Source organism: Homo sapiens, chromosome 2 (assembly GCF_000001405.40).
Source record: "Homo sapiens chromosome 2, GRCh38.p14 Primary Assembly".
In the NCBI taxonomy this organism is placed as follows: Eukaryota; Metazoa; Chordata; class Mammalia; order Primates; family Hominidae; genus Homo; species Homo sapiens.
In genome coordinates this window covers 175,016,853-175,035,936 of record NC_000002.12, presented here as the reverse complement: position 1 = coordinate 175,035,936, position 19,084 = coordinate 175,016,853, and the positions used below count along the sequence as shown (strand labels likewise).

The following is a 19,084-nucleotide window of genomic DNA, read 5'->3' as shown; positions in this document are numbered from 1 at the left end:
ACTTGCCGTCCCCAATTCTTCATCTGTTATTCATGCCTTAACCAAATGGTATCTGGACTCTCAAGGCATCTCTGCAACATTTGCTTCAAGTAGTCTTTTATTCCTTACTGAAGTGATTTTGTCCCTTGACTTTTATGACATCACATGCTCCTGGTTTCCCCTACCACTTGCGGCTTCTTCGAAGTTTCCTCTTCCACCTGCACTTTAAATGTTGGTGTCTGTTGGAGATGGCTTTGACTCTCCTACATTCTCCCTGGATATTTAATCCACTCACGTGGCTTGATTTCCTAGAGGAGCCTACAACCTCTTAGTGCTTGCCACGTTACAACCACCTCAATACTGTTCAAAATGTTTAGTACATTCTTTTGAGTGTTCATTTAGGCTCAACTCCACCTTGTTGCAAGATGGAATTGGGGTGTAACTGTGTGCCTTCAAAATCAAGAACTATGTGGTACATATGGTGCTGAAAACTTTACATTAATTATCTCACTTAATCCTCAAAGCACACTCAAGAAGCAGGTTCTGTTTATTTCTTCTACTTTGTAAATGATAACACTGTAGAACTGGGCAAATAAATAATTTTCCCAAGGTCACACAGCGCTAGGATTCTGTGATGGTTAATGTCCTAAATTAAATTATACAATTTGTATTCCTTTACTCTACCCCTCCCACTCCAGCCATCAAGCAGTAATAGTTTTCTAGATGCACGACCAACAGAGGAATGCTGGAAACAGTCTAGAACAAAGAAGTTATTGCCCAATTTTGACTTTCAACATGGGCATTTTAAAGCCCATGGTAGAAAAAATAGTATCAAGGAAGGCTTTCTGTTATAAGAACTAAGCCCTTGAATGCGATAAGAGATTTTGCTGTACTTTCAAACACTTGAGAACTAAGCTTGGAAAATTAATCACAGATGGTACCATGAAACACTGAGAAGGGAAATTGCAGAATGTGACAACCAAGTCGCGCTTCCTGGTTGGGAGAAGAGCTTGGAGAAATTTGGGGAAATGAGTATATGTGTGGGCCTGCTCACACATATACTTCTGTAATATTAGGAGTAACATCCCCCTAGGATATTTCAAATAGTATCACAGGGTGTACAATCCCAGTGACATTAGGAGTAACATCCCCCTAGCATATTACCAAAAATATCACAGGATGTACATCCACTGTGACATTAGAAGTAACATCCCCCTTGGATATTACAAATAACATCACAGTGTGTACACTCACTTTAATATTAGGAGTAATATCTTCCTAGAATATTACAAATAATATCACAGTGGGCGTACACACATGGTGTTAGAAGTAGTATCTCCCTAAAATATCATGAAAAATGTCACAGGGTGTACACCCACTGTGATATTAGAAGTAATTACTACTTAAGATATTAGGAATAATATCACAGTGGGTGTACATAGAGATAGGGGTAGAAAGCTTATTCAGTGGAATAATAACAGAGAACTTCCCAAACTTATAGAAGTAACATCCCACTAGGATATTACAAATAAAATCGCAGGGGGTATACACACATGATGTACACCCCCTGTGACATTACGAGTAGCATCCCCTTAGGATTACGAATATCCTAAGGAATATCCTAAGAAAGATATCAATATCGAAGTACAAAAAGGTTATAGAACACCAAGCAGATTTAACCCAAAGAAGACTACCTCAAGGCATTTAATAGTCAAACTCCTGCTTCATTTTGGCTGGAGCTGCCATGTTCCAGTAATTCACCAAAATGACAAAAACAAAGGGAAAGAAGAGAGGCACCCAATATATGTTGGTCTTTTAGAAAACATGGAGTTGTTCTTTTGGCCATGTATATGCAAATCTGTAAGGAACATGATATTGTAGACGTCAAGGAAATGAGTACTGTTCAAAAAGGAATGCCCCACAAGTGTTATTATGGCAAAACTGGAAGAGTCTATGATGTTACCCAACATGCTGTTGGCATTGTTGTAAACAAACAATTTAGGGCAAGATTCTTGCCAAGAGAATGTGTGTGTGGAGCACATTAAGCACTCTAAGAGAGGAGATCGCTTCCTGAAACGTATGAAGGAAAATGATCAGATAAAGAAGGAAGCCAAAGAGAAAGGTACTTGGTTCAATTGAAGTGCCAACCTGCTTCACCCAGAGAAGCACACTTCTAATGAGAAGTGTTTGACACACAAAGAATAAATGCTTGAGGTGATGGACACCCCATTTATCTTGATGTGATTATTTCATATTGCATGCCTGTATTGAAATACCTTATATAACCCATAAGTATTAATATCTACTATGTACCCACAAAAATTAAAAATGATAATTTTGTTTTAGAAAAAGATGGATTAAAGAGTTAAATGTTAAGACCTCAAACTATAAAAATCCTAGAAGAAAACCTAGGAAATACCCTCCTAGACAAACAATTTATAACTAAGTCCTCAAAAGCAATTGCAACAAAAGCAAAAATTGACAAGTGGGACCTAATTAAATTTAAGAGCTTCCGCCCAGCAAAAGAAACTACTAATAGAGTAAACAGACAACCTACAGAATGGGAGATAAAATATTTGCAAACTATGCATCCAACAAAGGGCTAATATCCAGATTCTATAAGGAATTTAATGCAACAAGAGTAAAACAAGTAACTGCATTAAAAAGTGAGCAAGGGACATGAACAAACACTTCTGAAAAGAAGATATACAAGGGGCCAAGAAACACATGAAAAAATGCTCAACATCGCTAGTCATTGGAGAAATGCAAATCAAAATCATAATGAGATACCCTCTCACACTGGTCAGAATGGCTATTATTAAAAAGTTAAAAAAAAACAACCAGATGGCAAGGATAAAGAGAAAAGGGGATGCTTATACACTGTTGGTGGGAATGTAAATTAGCTCAGCCACTACTGCAAGCAGTTTGGAGATTTTGCAAAGAACTGAAAATGTAACTACAATTCAACCCAGCAATCCCATGATTGGGTATATACACAAAGGACAGTAAATCATTCTACCAAAAGGACATCACAGCCCTATTCACCATAGCAAAGACATGGAATCAACTCAGGTGCCTATGAATGGTGGATTGCATAAAGAAAATGTGGTACATATACATTATGGAATACTATGCAGCCATAAAAGGAATAAAATTATATCTTTTGCAGTCACTTGGATGCAGCTGGAGGCTATTAACCTAAGCAAATTAATGCAGAAACAGCCAAATATTGCGTGTTCTTACTGATAAGTGGGAGCTAAACCTTGGGTAGACATGGACACACAGATGGGAATAATAAACACTGGGGACTCCAGGAAGAGGCATGGATGGATGGGGACAAGGTCTGAAAAAACTTCCTATTGGATACTTATGTTCACAATCTGGGTGATGGGATCAGTAGAAGCCAAAACCTCAGCATTATGCAATATACCCTTGTAACAAATCTGCACATGTACCCCTGAATCTAAAATTAAAGTATAAATTTTAAAAATAATTAATGGCTTAACACTAAAACACAAACTAATCTGAACTATTCTAATGATTGACAGTAAAAGCATTACTGAAAACAAAAGGAAACTTATTGCCATCTAATTCAAGTGCTTCTGATCCAGCTGCTATGCCTGCTTTTGTGTATCTCAGACAGAGACCAAAAACAGAGAAACATGGGCTTAGAGTCTGATTTAGCCTACAGTTGAGAAGAAAAGCTAGAATTTGGGACAAAGAACTAAGAAGACATGCCATGCAGGAATTTTTAGGACGTTCCAAGAGCTGTAATCCAAAGAGTTTGCAGCTAGGAAGCTGCTACTAGTTCACCTGCCGGTGGACACTGGCCCTACCCACTACCCACTAGACTCTGCACTGTTAGCCCTGTGAATAATTTCTTTTCTTTTCTTTTCTTTTTTTACTTTGAGATGGAGTCTTGCTCTGTCACCCATGCTGGAGTACAGTGGTGCGGTCTCGGCTCACTGCAAACTCTGCCTCCTGGGTTCAAGCAATTCTCTGCCTCAGCCTCCCAAATAGCTGGGATTACAGGCAACCGCCACCACGCCTGGCTAATTTTTGCATTTTTAGTAGAGATGGGGTTTCACCATCTTGGCCAGGCTGGTTTTGAACTCCTGACCTTGTGATCCACCCACCTCAGGCTCCCAAAGTGCTGGGATTACAGGCGTGACCCACCGCGCTGGGCCAGTGAATAATTTCTTAATGATGTCTTGATCTTTGCATTATTGCTCAGGAGTTAAAGCTGCAAGTGGCAGCATCTGATTGGCTGAGCTCAGCCCCCAAGCTCCTCATGCTGACTCCTCAGGGATGGAGAAATGGGTACCCTCCCCTTGAAATTCTGTAGTGAGAGCGAGGCCTTTTCTCACAAAGATTTATGCAATGGAAGACTCACCCAACAGAGAAATAAAGTTTGGATGCTCAGTAGCCAAGGGAACTAACAAACATCCACCATAGTGAAATATGAAATTGAAACATCAGAAGCTAAAACCAAAAATGCCTAGAACTGCTTTTCAGGTTGAAATGGTCTAGGAAATTTAGGGATACTTCACTGATTTAGATAGGAACAATTTCAAATTTATTTACATTTCAACTGAGCAGGGCAGGACTGGGAAATACTTCATGGGGGGTACTTCCATGAAAAAAAGTCACATTTCACATAAGGAGCCTAGGAAAAGCAGAAGCAACTCTGAGGACTCAGGAGCTGGCTGGGAGAGCATCCAGGCAGCTGTGCACATGGGCACAGTATAGTCAGGACTCTGGGTCCACCTGGTGGTGCAGTTTTTCTTCAACTTTTCTTTCACTGCAGTTCACTGTGGATGGCCCCCATTTCCCAGCAGTGTGGCAATGAGCAAAAATGGGCCCAGATACAAAGCCTAATGTGAGTTCCCTGCATGACAGTGGAAGAGGGGGTGATTAATCAAGAAGACAGTTCTTCATGGGTCGGGATGGGAACCTGGCAGCTCCGGGAGTGCTTTTCCTTTAGGGACACACAAAACACTTCAGCACTGAGGAACAGAATTTCTGTGATTCTGAGACTGGATGCACAATTGACACCAGGGCTCTTAGGGGTCTCCACCTCATCCTTAGGGCCAAGACAGCAGACAGACAGCTGCTAAAGCTGTGGCCCTGTGAAGCTCTTCTTGGCCTGTGGGTCACTCTTCCTCCCTCTTTCCCACAACCGTCTTCTATGGACTATGTCAGCAGAGAGGCTGCCTGGGCAGCTCTGCTGTCCTTGCTGTGTCTCTTACGGCCTTTGACCACAGCTTCTCTCTTGCCCAACACTTGTACGTACCACCTGATTGGCTGCATTTAATCACTGCTTCCTAGGTTTCTCATGCTTTCCTTCTCTAGTTTAAAAGTCCAGCACTTTTTTCTACCTGCCCCTTTTGGTTTCATGTTAGGGTTTCCTGTGGCTGTGCCCCACAACTCAGAGATGTACCCAGGATGATGTCAAACAAGTTGAGGTTATTGCTTGGAGATTGACTTACTGCTAAACAATGTCAATATATGTCTTTGGGGTTGCTACACACAGATGTCCTTGGCTGTCAGTATCATGGAATCTCTCATCATGGCAGTGATGCTATGGGCAAGGCCCTTGGATCTCACCACCTTTATTCAAGAGACAAGCTGAACCCGACCAACTTTCTTAGAAATATAATTTAGCAGTGTTGTTTTTTTCATTAGGTTTAATTAAATTCAGTAAAATGTATGTATCTTAAGTGTAAAGCTCAGAGAATTTTTATGGACATGTGTCCCCATATAATCATCCCCCAGATCCAGGTATACACACGTAAATGAAGTCTGACAGCATGAGTCAATTGGAGCTAATTTCTGCATTCAGGGGGAAAACAGCTAAGACAGTGATTCTCAAACTTTCATGTGCTTCCGGATCACCTAGAGGGCTTATTGAAACACAGATTGCTATTCCCAGGTAATATTAATGCTTCTTGTTCAGGGACCACATTTAGGGAATCCCAGGGCTCAGGACTGCTAGGAAGCGCTAAACTGTCTCCAATTCATAGACATGCAAAGAAGGAAACCCCATTAGCAAAATAATTTTATTTATTAATTTTTCTTTTTAAAATATGCAATGTGTCATGAATTTGTGTGTCATCCTTCCATAGGGGCCATGCTAATCTTCTTTGTATTGTTCCAATTTTTTAGTATATGTGCTGCCCAAGAGAACACAATTTTAGTAAAAATGAATTGGCCATATACTTAACTGAGGATCTTTAAATGCTAGCCTTCTATTTTCTGACCCAGAATTTTCTGAGTGGGTCTTGGTTGCCAGCAAAGGAGTCCACAAAGTTATAAGCATAGACTGCATCAGAACAATGCCCTTTTGAGACTACTTTCCAATGAATTAATCAGTGCTGAGTACTTGAAGAGCTTGAAAGGATCAATATGCTTTTAAAGTCCGGAAGACTCATCATACCCTTTTTACAGTCAGAGCAGGGGTATTGGTAAATTGCTCTGAGATCCTCAGAGGGAGATTAACCAGCCAGCACTTATTGTTAGGGCATTTAAAGCATTTTATTTTAAGTAATACATTTAATAAATGTAAAACTAGCCACCTAAAACATGTACTTTTTTGTTTTATATTCATTCTGTGAACATAGAAAGCTTCATAATTTTCCAGATTTTCCTACCATGATCATATATTGCTCTTATAATCAGAAAAAACAAACCCCAAAACAAACAAACAAAAATAATCCAGGGCAACTCCCCCCTCTTGCTGCCTCTATTTAGTTAAACAAGGTGTATTTAATTAAGATTTTCTATATTACAAGATATTTACTCTTTTTTTTTTGAGATGGAGTCTCGCTCTGCCACCCAGGCTGGAGTGCAATGGCATGATCTCAGCTCACTGCAACCTCCTTCTCCCAGGTTCAAGCGATTCTCCTGCCTCAGCCTCCCGAGTAGCTGAGATTATAGGTGCCTGCCACCACACCCGGCTAATTTTTGTGTTTTTAGAGACGGGGTTTCACCATGTTGGCCAGGCTGGTCTTGAACTCCTGACCTCAGGTGATCTCTGCACCTCGGCCTCTCAAAATGTTGGGATTATGGGCATAAGCCACTGAGCACAGCCTGATATTTACTTTTTTTTCCCTACAAACACACATGTATATCAAAGATTTCATGGGCTGTTTTTCACCACTATTTAAATCTACAACGTACAAGAAATAGATTTTTTGAACAATAGCCTTTTAATGTATCTTCTTATATGTATATTTTTTCTTTTTAAAAAAGTAGCATTAGAGGTGGGGCAGCTTTTGAGAACAAAGTTCTTTTTTTAAAGAAAAAGTAAGCCATTTTCACTGTGGAGTAAATAAACAGAGGAATTCGGATCCACCTGATTTAATTCCTTTGTGTTTACTTAGTGTGGGCTCATCTAGCCAGTGGTTGTTCTGTGAGCAAATAGTCTGGCAACACTTTCTTTAGAAAGAAAATGCGCTTGCAGGCGGATTTGCACCATCTACTCTGTTTCCTGTGCCTCCAAGGCTGACAGCAAGTGACCAAAATGAAAAACGATGACCCAGTGGTTTCACAAGTCTTCATCTTACACAGGGGCAGGACCACGGCTTCTTCCACGTCCTTCCATGGCTATGGCCACAGGCATCAGCAATACGGAAAGTAGACTCAACTTTGACCACGTGGGCACAATCCTGAAAGTGAGACCAGTTGGGAACAATCTGTCCTGGGAAACAGTCATGCCTCTTTCCACTCCCACGGGACTTTAGGGCAAAAGCCAACAGGCAGCTGCTTCTACTTTTTAAAAACTGCAATTCATCGGTCTAGTGTTTGGTTATCCTCCTTTAAACCTAAACAAAAATCTCAAAAGAGTCATGTGTTTTTAGAATAGGAAATGAAACAGAGCATTCCTGAATGATCCACCTATCTCCCATTTAGAATTCCTTGTTCATGTGTCCCTGAAATGACATTTACCTGGCTCCTCTTGGGGCCAGTGGACTGTGGCCCTCCAGGCAGCTGCCGCTGGGAAAGAGCATGTCTCCCACTGGGCTGGAGTCTGCACCAGGCCTTTCCTCCCAGGGCTTCAGGAGCAAGTCAGGTGAAGTCCCATCCCTCTTCTACAGGACGGTACTTCTGGTATCCGAAGACTGTTATTTCATCTGCTTTGCATCTTGTGTTATTTCAGAACAAGCCTTTTAAAGGCTCTCAACTGTTCTTCAGATTACATGGTTGTCTCTCTTCTCATCCTCCTCCAGGGCTTTCCAGCCCATCAAAGTGCTGAGTACATACTCTATTTTGATGGGTGCTGAGGAGAGAACTCAAAAATTATAATCTTCCATAATTAAGACACACTACTTCTAGCAATGGAGTCTCATCTTTGAAAGTTTTATGATAGCCTTGCCATTTTACCAGCTCAAAATGAACTTGACATCAGCTAATCTCATGTCAACTTCCTAACTCAGAGTCTTTTAAAATTTTTTTTATTTTTTCATATTTTCTTTTTTCAAAGCAAGATATGGAGTGGGAAGACTTGGAGTCCTTAATCCATGAACTTCTGTTAAACTGTCTAATGTCCAGGTATTTGAGCCTGAATGTAGACTTTATATTTGCCTGGTTAAATGGTGAAGAAAAAAACTGCTTCTCAGGGAAGTTAGGCATTTCATGTAGTAACTGAGTAACTGAGGTTTTAGCATATCATTCATTGATAGCATATCAACACATTTTCCATCTCAACTCTATCATTCAAAAATTATTAGCATGGGCCAGGCACGGTGGCTCATGTCTGTAATCCCAGCACTTTGGGAGGCCGAGACAGGCAGATCACCTAAGGTCTGGAGTTCAAGACCAGCCTGACCAACATGGAGAAACCCCGTCTCCACTAAAAGTACAAAATTAGCCTGGCGTGGTGGCACATGCCTATAATCCCAGCTACTCTGGAGGCTGAGGCAGGAGAATCGCTTGAACCCGGGAGGCAGAGGTTGTGGTGAGCCGAGATTGTGCCATTGCACTCCAGCCTGGGCAGCAAGAGTGAAACTCTGTCTCAAAAAAAAAAAAAAAAAAATTATTAGCATGAACATAAAACAAAAATCAAAAAATACTTGCATGTGTCAGGCATTAAGTGCTTTTTGTAAATTAACTCATGTAATCCTCTTAACAACTTTATGAGACAGGTCTTATTATCATCAATATTTTAAGATTGAAGAAGCTGAGACACACAGAAGTTAATTACATGCCCAGAGTCACACAGGTAATATAATAAATGATGAGCTAGGATTCAAACCCAGCAGTCTGACTCCAGAAGAGGTGTGCTTAAGCACTATGCCTCTCAAAGCAACCCTTCCAGTTTTTTGTCATCTATAGATTCGGTTAAAGTGTCTTTTATTTTATTTATTTATTTATTTATTTATTTATTTATTTATTTATTTATTTATTTGAGACAGGGCCTCACTCTGTAGCCCAGGCTGCAGTGCAGTGGCATGATCTCTACTCACTGCACTCTCAACCTTCTGGGCTCAAGCAATCCTCCCACCTCAGCTTCCTGAGTAGCTGGGACCAGAGATGCACGCCACCATGCCCCCAGCAAATGTTTAAAGTTTTTGTAGAGATGGGGCTTCACTGTGTTGCCCAGGCTGGTTTCAAACTCCTGGGCTTAAGCGATCTGCCTGCCTCAGCATCCCAAAGTGCTGGGATTAAAGGTGTGAGCCATTATGCCCAGCCTAAAATGTCTTTTATTTTTAAGAGGATACTAGTTTATTTATTCAGTACTTGCTGATTCCCAGGCCTTATGCTTGGCACTGGGTACATGACACACAGAACAGATGTGGGGAAGACTGGGCACAGGGTGATTTCAGTTGTGACTGAGAGAAACATGACTCAAACTAGAGTAAGCCAAAAAGTGGAGTTATTGGCTCATATGTCCAAATTTTAAGAGGAATAGATTTTGGTTTAGAGGCAATGGAATCTAGAGATAAAGATGCTGCAGTAAGGGGGATGGGTGAAATTTGTTACCAGTACAAGATGAGGAAAAGCCTGTTTTTCATAAAATCAGCTAAACAGCCAGGCTCACCACGAGCAAGAACCAGGGCAGCTTTAGGGATCCAAGGAGCATGAGATTCACTCAAGGCATCTTTGCTAGACTGAAACAACAGTAATAATTTTTTTTCTCTCCTTGTGTTCTTTCACTCAAGATTAATGAGGTACCTCTGCACACTAGTAGAATGGCTAAAATTAAAATGACTGACCATACCAAGTGTTGATGAGCATGTGGAGGAACAGGAACTCTCATACACCATTGGTAGAAATGTAAAATAGCACAACCTTTTTGCAAAACAGTTTAGTTGTTTCTTAAGAAGTTAGACATGCATTTATTGTCTGACCCAACCATTCTACTACTAGGTATTTATGTAAGAGAAATGGAAACATATGTGCATAGTAAGACTTGAATATGAATGTTCATAGTACTTTGTTCATGATAGCCCCAAACTGGAAACAATCCAAATACCCATCAGAAAGTGAATGGATAAACTAGTATATCTATGCAATAAATTACTACTCAGCAATAAAAAGGCGTGAAGTACTGACGTACACAATGACGTGGATGAATGTCAAAATAATTATGCTGAATGAAAGAAGCCAGACCAAAAAGATTGCATACTGTATGATTTCATGTATATCAAATTCTAAAAAATGCAAACTAATCTGTAGTGACAGAAAGGAGATCAGTGGTTTTCTGGGGTTGGGGAGTGCTGGAGGAAAAAATTACAAATGAACACAAAGAGTACTTTCTGGGGCCGGGCGCGGTGGCTCACGCCTGTAATCCCAGCAGTTTGGGAGGCCAAGGTGGGTGGATCACTTAAGGTCAGGAGTTCAAGACCAGCCTGGCCAACATGGTGAAACCCCGTCTCTACTAAAAGTACAAAAATTAGCCAAGCATGCTGGCATGTGCCTGTAGTCCCAGCTACTTGGGAGGCTGAGGCATGAGAATCACTGGAACCCAGGAGGCAGAGGTTGCAGTGAGCTGAGATCGTGCCATTGCACTCCAGCCTGGGCAACAGAGCGAGACTCCATCTCAAAAAAAAAAAAAAAGAAGAAACCTTTTTGGGGTGATGAATATGTTTATTACCTTGATTGTGGTGATGGTTTCACAGGTATACACATATGTCTAAATATATCAAATTCTACACTTAAAATATGCATAGTCAACCAGGTGTCAATTATATCTCAAAAAAGCTGCTAAAAAGGTTTTTAATACGCTGTTTAAAATGTTTTCTACAGTCTCCATTACAGAATTGGAAAAGAGATGACTATCCCTCTCCTCTTTCAGTCACTGCCCAGTCTTAAGATAATACTTTCTTGGAAATCATATTATCGTGTGCTCATGTGCAGTGTCCACTTCATGGTTTACATTATACAGAAATAGTTTGCTTTTCTATTGAAATAATTATTAAATGTGTGCTAATTTCTTAGTGAGCCTTTGGTAAATTAGTCTTTGAAGGTGTTGACTTTGGTGGATTTTAAATGCCTTTGGGGAATACAATATCTGATTAATGGTTTCATATAGCCCAATGCATTTTTACATGGGAAACTGGTAAATCAGTAAATTCACTAGAACTTTTACGTTTGTAAAGGATTTTTACATTTGTAGGAACATTAAAAATCATTAGGAAACATTAGAAATCATCTACTTCAACTGTGACATTTAGGCTACAGTTATTTGACTAGGTTTTTTTTTTAAATTTATGATATAATGAACTTTAAAACGATATTGTTGGGCAATGACACACCCCCTAGAAATAAATAATGATAACAATCTTGTCAGATCGTAAAATTTGTTTGGATGGTTTCTGCTTCTACAATCTCTGATTTATTCAGTGCACAGACCCTCCTTTTTCACAGGTAAAAAAGGATGGGAAAGATATGGTTGTCACTTGCCTGATGGTGCCTTTCTGAAGTCAGCTGGGTTTTCCTTTTCTTTTCTTTCTTTCTCTCTTTAACTTATTTTCTTTTCAACATGGGAAACTTTACGTTTAAAACTTTCTGAGTGATTTTAAAAAATATTTAATTGACAAAGATTGTATATATTCAAGGTGTACAATGTGATGACTTGTTATACATATGCATTGTGTAAGGATTGCCAAAATCAAATTAATTAACATATCCACGACCACCCATGCTGTACCTTAGATAACCAAAACTTTTTCATCTTATAACTGAACATTTGTACCCTTTGACCAACAGCTATTTCTTCACCAAGTTCTGGACAAGGATTTTGTAAACATGGTGGCCTCGGGGAGGCTCCCATATCCTTTTTGTATTGATGAGCCATTATGTAGAGTAATCATGTTGGTATGATCCTAGCCTTTGGTCTGTTTTCTAATTGGTAAGGAACAACAACAAACATATAACCATGATAAATTTCCAACAATCAGATAAACCTTATTTAAATAGCCGTACTTGTCAAAAGCATTTTAAACAATCTAAAAATTAAGACATCTGGTTCATTTCAATAGCAATTTGGGCACATGTTCAATTTATTTTTTCTATCACTTTTTGGGACAACTGGCTAACCTTTTGCAATAAAATACAATATAAAATAATGTGAGAGTTCTAAAGCATACCTAACACAAAAATTTATTTTAGATATATGGAAAGTTTAAAAACCGTAAAAGTACTAGAATAAAATATATGAATGTGGATTATATTCTTTTATGGCAAAGACTCAACACATATCCCATATTCCCTGTGAGAAAAGCTCTTTCTGTACATGCCCCCCTCAAGATAAGCCCCTTGTATCTTGTGACTTCCATACTCCCTGGCCACAGCTCATTTGTTGGGAGATGGGCGGAGACAGGAACTTGACCTCTGGACGAGCCAATCTACTAGATGAACTGTGTGAATCAGCTTCTGTTTTCCACAAATTGAAATTGGGGCACAGAGATACTAGTCCACTTGTCAGTGGTTTTGGAACTGAGGTGGCTACATCAGAGCGATGTGTATGGATAAACAACTTATCAAAGAGGAGGAAAGGAGAATGAAGCAGTTGCTTAGAGAGAAGCAGAGAGGAGAGAGAAGGCAAGCTTAGAGAAATGGATAAAGATGTTTTGATTCTGGACAAGGTTTCAGTTCCTGGTTCCCAATATCTCATGAAGCCTGGCTAAATTTTCTGCGTCTGGGTTCCAGTTCAAATCCCCTGTATTATAATTAATTTCCCTTTAATTAACCCTGCTTCTATTTCTTGCAAACAAAAAAGCCTAGACTGCAGCAGTAATCTTGGCAAAATACCAAGTATGATATTACATATAGAACCCCTAAAAAAATGTTTTTTAAAAATCTGTTCTCATAAAAATGAAACATGTCTTTATCTAAAAAGAATCATAAACAGCATTAAACTGAAATAACAACTGGGGACAGAGAACTATACATATATGAAAAAGAGCTACATTTTTAATATCATTGAAAATTCATACAAAAAGGTAAATATTCTAATAGAAAAATCACCCAATGTCTTAAATAGGCCATTCCCAATAGAAGAAATACAAACAACCAATTTATATGTAAAATGTTTGGATGCAAAATAAACAATAAAGAAATATTAGTTTTGGTCAAGCAGATAGGCAAAGTCTTCTACCTGCTCTCCTACTTCTAATATTTTTAAAAATGTATTTTTAAAATATCAAATGCTTCAGGAATTTGCATGTCATTCTTGCACAGGATCGTGCTAATTTTCTCTATATAGCTCCAATTTTAGTGTATGCACTGGCAGAGCCAGCACATCCTACTTCCAATTTTACTTTCACTATACAGCCATGTGCTGCAAAACAATGTTTCAATCAATGACAGGCCACATACAATACAGTGGTCCCGTAAGATTATAATACTGTATTTTTACTGTACCTTTTCTGTGTTTAAATACACAAACACCATTGTCTTACAATTGCCTACAGTATTCAGTCCAATAACATGCTGTACAGGTTTGTAGCCTAGGAGCAATAGGCCATATCATATAGTCTAGGTGTGTAGTAGGTCACACCATCTAAGTTTGTCTAAGTTCACTCTATGGTGGTCACACAATGATGAAATCACCTAATGATGCATTTCTCAGAATAGTACCCGATCATTAAGTGATGCAAGGCTGTAGTCTTTTCTTTTCTTTTTCTTTCTTTGTTTTTGAGACAGAGTATCCCTCTGTTGCCCAGGCTAGAGTGCAGTGCCGCCATCTCGGTCATTGCAACCTCTGCCTCTCAGGTTCAAGCGATTCTCATGCTTCAGCCTCCAGAGTATCTGGGACTACAGGCACGCACCACCATGCCCAGCTAATTTTTGTATTTTTAGTAGAGACAGGTTTTCGCCATGTTGGCCAGGCTGGTGTCGAACTCCTGACCTCAAGTGATCCACCCACCTCGGCCTCCCAAAGTGCTAGGATTACAGGTGTGAACCATTGCGCCTGCCTGTAATCTTCTCTTAATGCCAGGATGCGCCCTTCAAATCATAAATGGGAACAATTTACTCTTCTGCTGAAATCTCTCCAGTGGCTCTCCATCTCACCAAGAGAAAGCCACCATCCTCAGGACGATGTGGCAGCCCTCATTACCTCACTAACCTCATCCCCCACTCTCCCACTTGCTCCCTTTGCCCCTGCCTCTTGCATACTGCCTTGTTGCTATTGCTTGAACATAACAGGCGTACTCCAGTCTCCAAAACTTGGTCCTGGCTGTTTTCTCTGCCCCAGATGCTCTTCCCCTCGAACCCCCCTCCACCCCTACCAGTATGTCTACGCCTTTTTCCTTTACCTTCTTCCAATCTTAGCTGAAAGCCATCTTCTCAGAGAGGGCATCCCTGACCCCAGCACTTAACATGGATGCCCCTCACCTCCTGCACTGCCGTTGCCTCCTGTGTCATGTGTCTCCATGACATTTGCCACCTTCTAGTGTACAATACCACTTACTTATCTTGTTTATTGTCTATCTCTTCACACCTAGAATGGAAGCTCCATTGTGGTAAGGATTTATCCCCAGCTCCTAGTACATAGCCAGGCACATAGTGGACACTCAATAAACATTTATTGAATGAAAAAGTGAAAAAAGGATAATATCAGAGTTGGACAGAGTCTAAGAAATGGTTACTTTGGCATACTATTAATGAGAATGTAAGTTGGTGCAATATTTCTGAAGAATAATGTGGCAATGGGGATTAAAATCTTAAAAATGTATCGTCCTTGTGTAACATCAGTTACTTTGAGAAATTTATCATAACCAAATAATATGTTAGTTAGAGCCCTTTTGGTTGCAAATAACAGGAAGCCACTTGTGCTAACTTAAGTACTAATGATGGAGTGTTATTTATGTATTTATTTATTTTTTGGGATGGAGTTTAGCTCTTGTTGCCCAGGCTGGAGTGCAATGGAGTGATCTCGACTCACTGTAACCTCCACCTCCCGGGTTCAAGCTATTCTTTTGCCTCAGCCTCCTGAGTTTCTGGGATTACAGGCATGCACCACCACACCTGGATAATTTTGTATTTTTAGCAGAGATGGGGTTTCTCCATGTTGGTCAGGCTGGTCTCAAACTCCCGACCTCAGGTGATCTGCCTGCCTCAGCCTCCCAAAGTGCTGGGATCACAGGTGTGAGCCACCACACCCAACCAGAGTGATTTATTATGATACATTATATGCCATATTACAGAGGAAGAAAGAAAGAATGCATTATGTGGGACATTTAGACAGCTCTGCCAAACCCACTGGCTTAAGTTAGTCTTCCCAGGAAACAGATGGAGACAGAAAGTTTTCTGGGCAGTGCTCTTTGAATCAATACCTGTAACAGAGTGAAGGAAGCAGGACTGAGCAAAGGGCAAAGTTTAACTGAGATGCCAGTGCAACCCATGCTACAGTTAATTCCATGGTGAGCTCTGGCATTGTTCCCTTTTGAGGCAAGGGACTCAGACCTTTATATCGACATATTAACCAATAATTACTTGTAGGATAATCCTGGAAAGGTGTGCAGCCTTGGTCCAAACAACTGCCTTAGTACAAGGGCAAATCCTGGGAACTGACTCAGCTTTGAGCCATCAGTAACCGACTCTCCTGGCATCTGGGGCAGTGGATACCTTGGTCCTGATGGGGAGGATCTGTGAAGCAGCATACTGTAGCATCTGCTCTACCAGGGAAACTAAAGGAAGTTTAGTTTTCTCCAGGCCTTAGGATAATTGGAACCAGACACTTGGATGCTGCCAGGGCTCTCTCTTGTCTCTTTCTTTCTATGCATCTCTCTCACTCTGGACTGTTTTCCCAGTTTCTTATTTCACAAGGTCAAAAATTATTTCCAGCAGCTTCATCCTCAGAGAGAGGGTAACTCTGAATGGTCCAGTTTGGGTCACTGTCAATCCATGGACCTAACCAAACAACTATAGTAGAGGGTAATGTTGTTACTTAGTACTAATATGGTGGCACCTGCTGTAACCATTTGTATTCAAAGAAGTAGAGAAAGGGGGCAAACCCATACTTGCATGTGCCACATCTATAGAGTCAGGAAAAAAAATCTCAAAGAATATAAATTAAAGTGTTAACAGTAGTTACTTTTTGGTAGTAGAATTGACAATGGTTTCTTTTTCCTCTTTTTCATTTTGTATACCTTTTTTGTCATTGTTATATGTCTAATAATATTTTAGTAATTGCATATAGTTTTAAAAAAGAAAAAGTAGATACCTGTTTCTGTCTTCTGCATAAAAGATCCACTAGTTATAGGCTGTAGGAAGAATATTCATATCAAGTATGATGTTCTGGAAACTGGTGTAAAAAAAAAATCTGGCTTAACTTTGCAAAGCTTATTTCATCAAATTGCAAACAAACTAAACAGGGATGATTTGTAAAGAAAATATTTAATTGGCTCATGGTTCTGCAGGCTGTACAAGCATGCCTCCAGCATCTGCTCCTGGTGAGGGCCTCAGGAAGCTCGCAATCATGGCAGAAGGTGAAAAGGGAGCAAGCACGTCACATGGTGAGAACGAGAGCAAGAGAGAGAGGAGGGGGAGGTCCCAGACTCTTCTAAACAACCAGATCTTACATGAACTGAGCAAGAACTTGGTTATCACCAATGGATGGTACTAAACCATTAATGAGGGACCCACCTCCATGATCTAGTCATCTCCCACCAGCTCCCACCATCTCCAACATTGGGAATCACATTTCAGCATGAGATTTGGAGGAGACAAACATCCAAACCATATTATTCTGCCCCTAACTCCCCAAATCTCATGTACTTCTCACATTTTAATACAACCATGCCTTCCCAGTAGTCCCCCAAAGTCTTAACTTGTCCATTATTGACTCAAAAGCCTCAGGTCCAAAGTCCAAAGTCTTATCTGGAGATGAGTTTCTTCCACGTATAAGCCTGTAAGATAAACAAGTTACTTACTCCCAAGATACAATGGTAGTACAGGCGATGGGTAAATATTCCCATTCTAAAAGGGAGAAATTGACCAAAAGAAAGGAGCAATAGGCCCCACACGTCTGAAACCCAGCAGGGCAAACATTAAATCTTAAAGCTCCAAAACAATCTCTTTTAACTCCATGTCCCACATCTTACTGTGAGGGGTGGACTCTCAAGGCCTTGGGCAGCTCCACCCCTGTGGCATTGCAGGGTACAGCTCCTGTGTATGCTCTCATGGGTCGGAGCTTGGTGCCTATGGCCTTTCCACACTGAGGCTGCAAACTGCTGGTGCCTCTACCATTCTTGGGTCTGGAAGGCAGCTGTCCCTTTCCCACAGCTCCACTAGGCAGTGCCTTGGTGAGGACTCTGTGTGGCAGTTCTAACCCTACATTTCTTTCAGCAGTGCCGTAATAGAGTTTATCTATGGGTAATCTGTCCTGCAGCAGGCTTCTGCCTGGGCACCTAGGGTTTTCCCGTACCACCTCTGAAATCTAGGCAGAAGTTGCCAAGCCTTCTTGCTTGCATTCTATGTGCCTGCAGGCTTAACACATGGAAGCCACCAAGGGCTTATGACTTATGCTCTCCAGAGTGGCAGCCCAAGCAGTATCTTGTGCCCTTTCAGCCTTGGGTGTAGCTGGAGCAGCCTGGATGCAGGAAGCAGTGTCATGAGGCTGCACAGGGCAGCAGCACCCAGGCCTGGTCCCAAAACCATTCTTTCCCTGTAGGTCTCTGGGCCTGTGATGGGAGAGGCTGCATCAAAGTTTTCTGAAATGACTTCGCATCTAGTCATGCTCCCTTTTAGTCATGCTAATCTCTCTAGCAAGTGGTTGCTATCCAGACCACTTGGATTCTTTCTCTACCTCAGTACCAGGCTGCAAATTTTCCAAACTTTTATGCTCTGCTTCCCTTTTAAATATGAATTCCAACTTTAAGTCGTTCCTTTGCTCCTGCATCTGATTTAGGGTGTTAGAAGCAGGCATGTCACTTTTTGAATGCTTTGCTGCCTAGAAATTTCTTCTGCCAGATACTGTAGGTAATCACTCTTGAGTTTGAACTTCCACAAAGCCCTAGGACATGGACACAATGAAGTCAAGTTCTTTACTAGGGAGTAACAAGGGTGATCTTTCCTCCAGTTCCCAATAAGTTTCTCATTGCCATCTGAGACCTTATCAAGCTGGCCTTCATCATCCATATTTCCATCTGCATTTTGATCACAACCATTTAGCTAGTCTGCAAGAAGTTCCAGACTTCCCCTCATCTTCCTATCTTTTTCTGAGCCCTCCGAACTCTTCCAGACTCTGTTACCCAGTTCCAAAGCTGCTTCCACATCATCAGATATCTTTTCAGCAAAGCCCCACTACTTATCAATTTTATTAGCCCATTGTTGCATTGCTATAAAGAAATACCTGGAGCTGGGTAGTTTGTAAAGAAAACAGGTTTAACTGGTTTACAGTTCTGCAAGCTATACAAGCATGGCTTCAGCATCTGCTCCTGGTGAGGGCCTCAGGAAGTTTCCAATCATGGTAGAAGGCAAAGGGGGAGCAAGCATGGTGAGAGCAGGAGCAAGAGAGAAAAGGGTGAGGTCCCAGACTCTTTTAGACAACCAGATCTCAGGTAAACTAACTGAGTGAGAACTCACTTATCACTAAGGGGATGGTGCCAAACCATTCATAAAGGATCTGCCCTCATGATCCATTCACCTTTCACCA

At 40.8% G+C, this 19,084-nt stretch overlaps 3 pseudogenes, besides 1 other annotated feature; 1 reads left to right on the top strand and 2 right to left on the bottom strand.

Annotated features, from left to right (window-relative positions):
* On the top strand, window positions 1,703–2,152 carry RPL21P31 (ribosomal protein L21 pseudogene 31; annotated as a pseudogene).
* Window positions 4,757–4,826: a silencer, noted in NCBI's record as "silent region_12132". NCBI's record gives its function as "represses an Ori minimal core promoter by ATAC-STARR-seq in GM12878 lymphoblastoid cells {active_cell/tissue: GM12878}" and the evidence as "EXISTENCE:reporter gene assay evidence [ECO:0000049][PMID:35858748]".
* RNU6-1290P (RNA, U6 small nuclear 1290, pseudogene) lies at window positions 6,060–6,168 on the bottom strand (annotated as a pseudogene).
* On the bottom strand, window positions 13,618–13,723 carry RNU6-763P (RNA, U6 small nuclear 763, pseudogene; annotated as a pseudogene).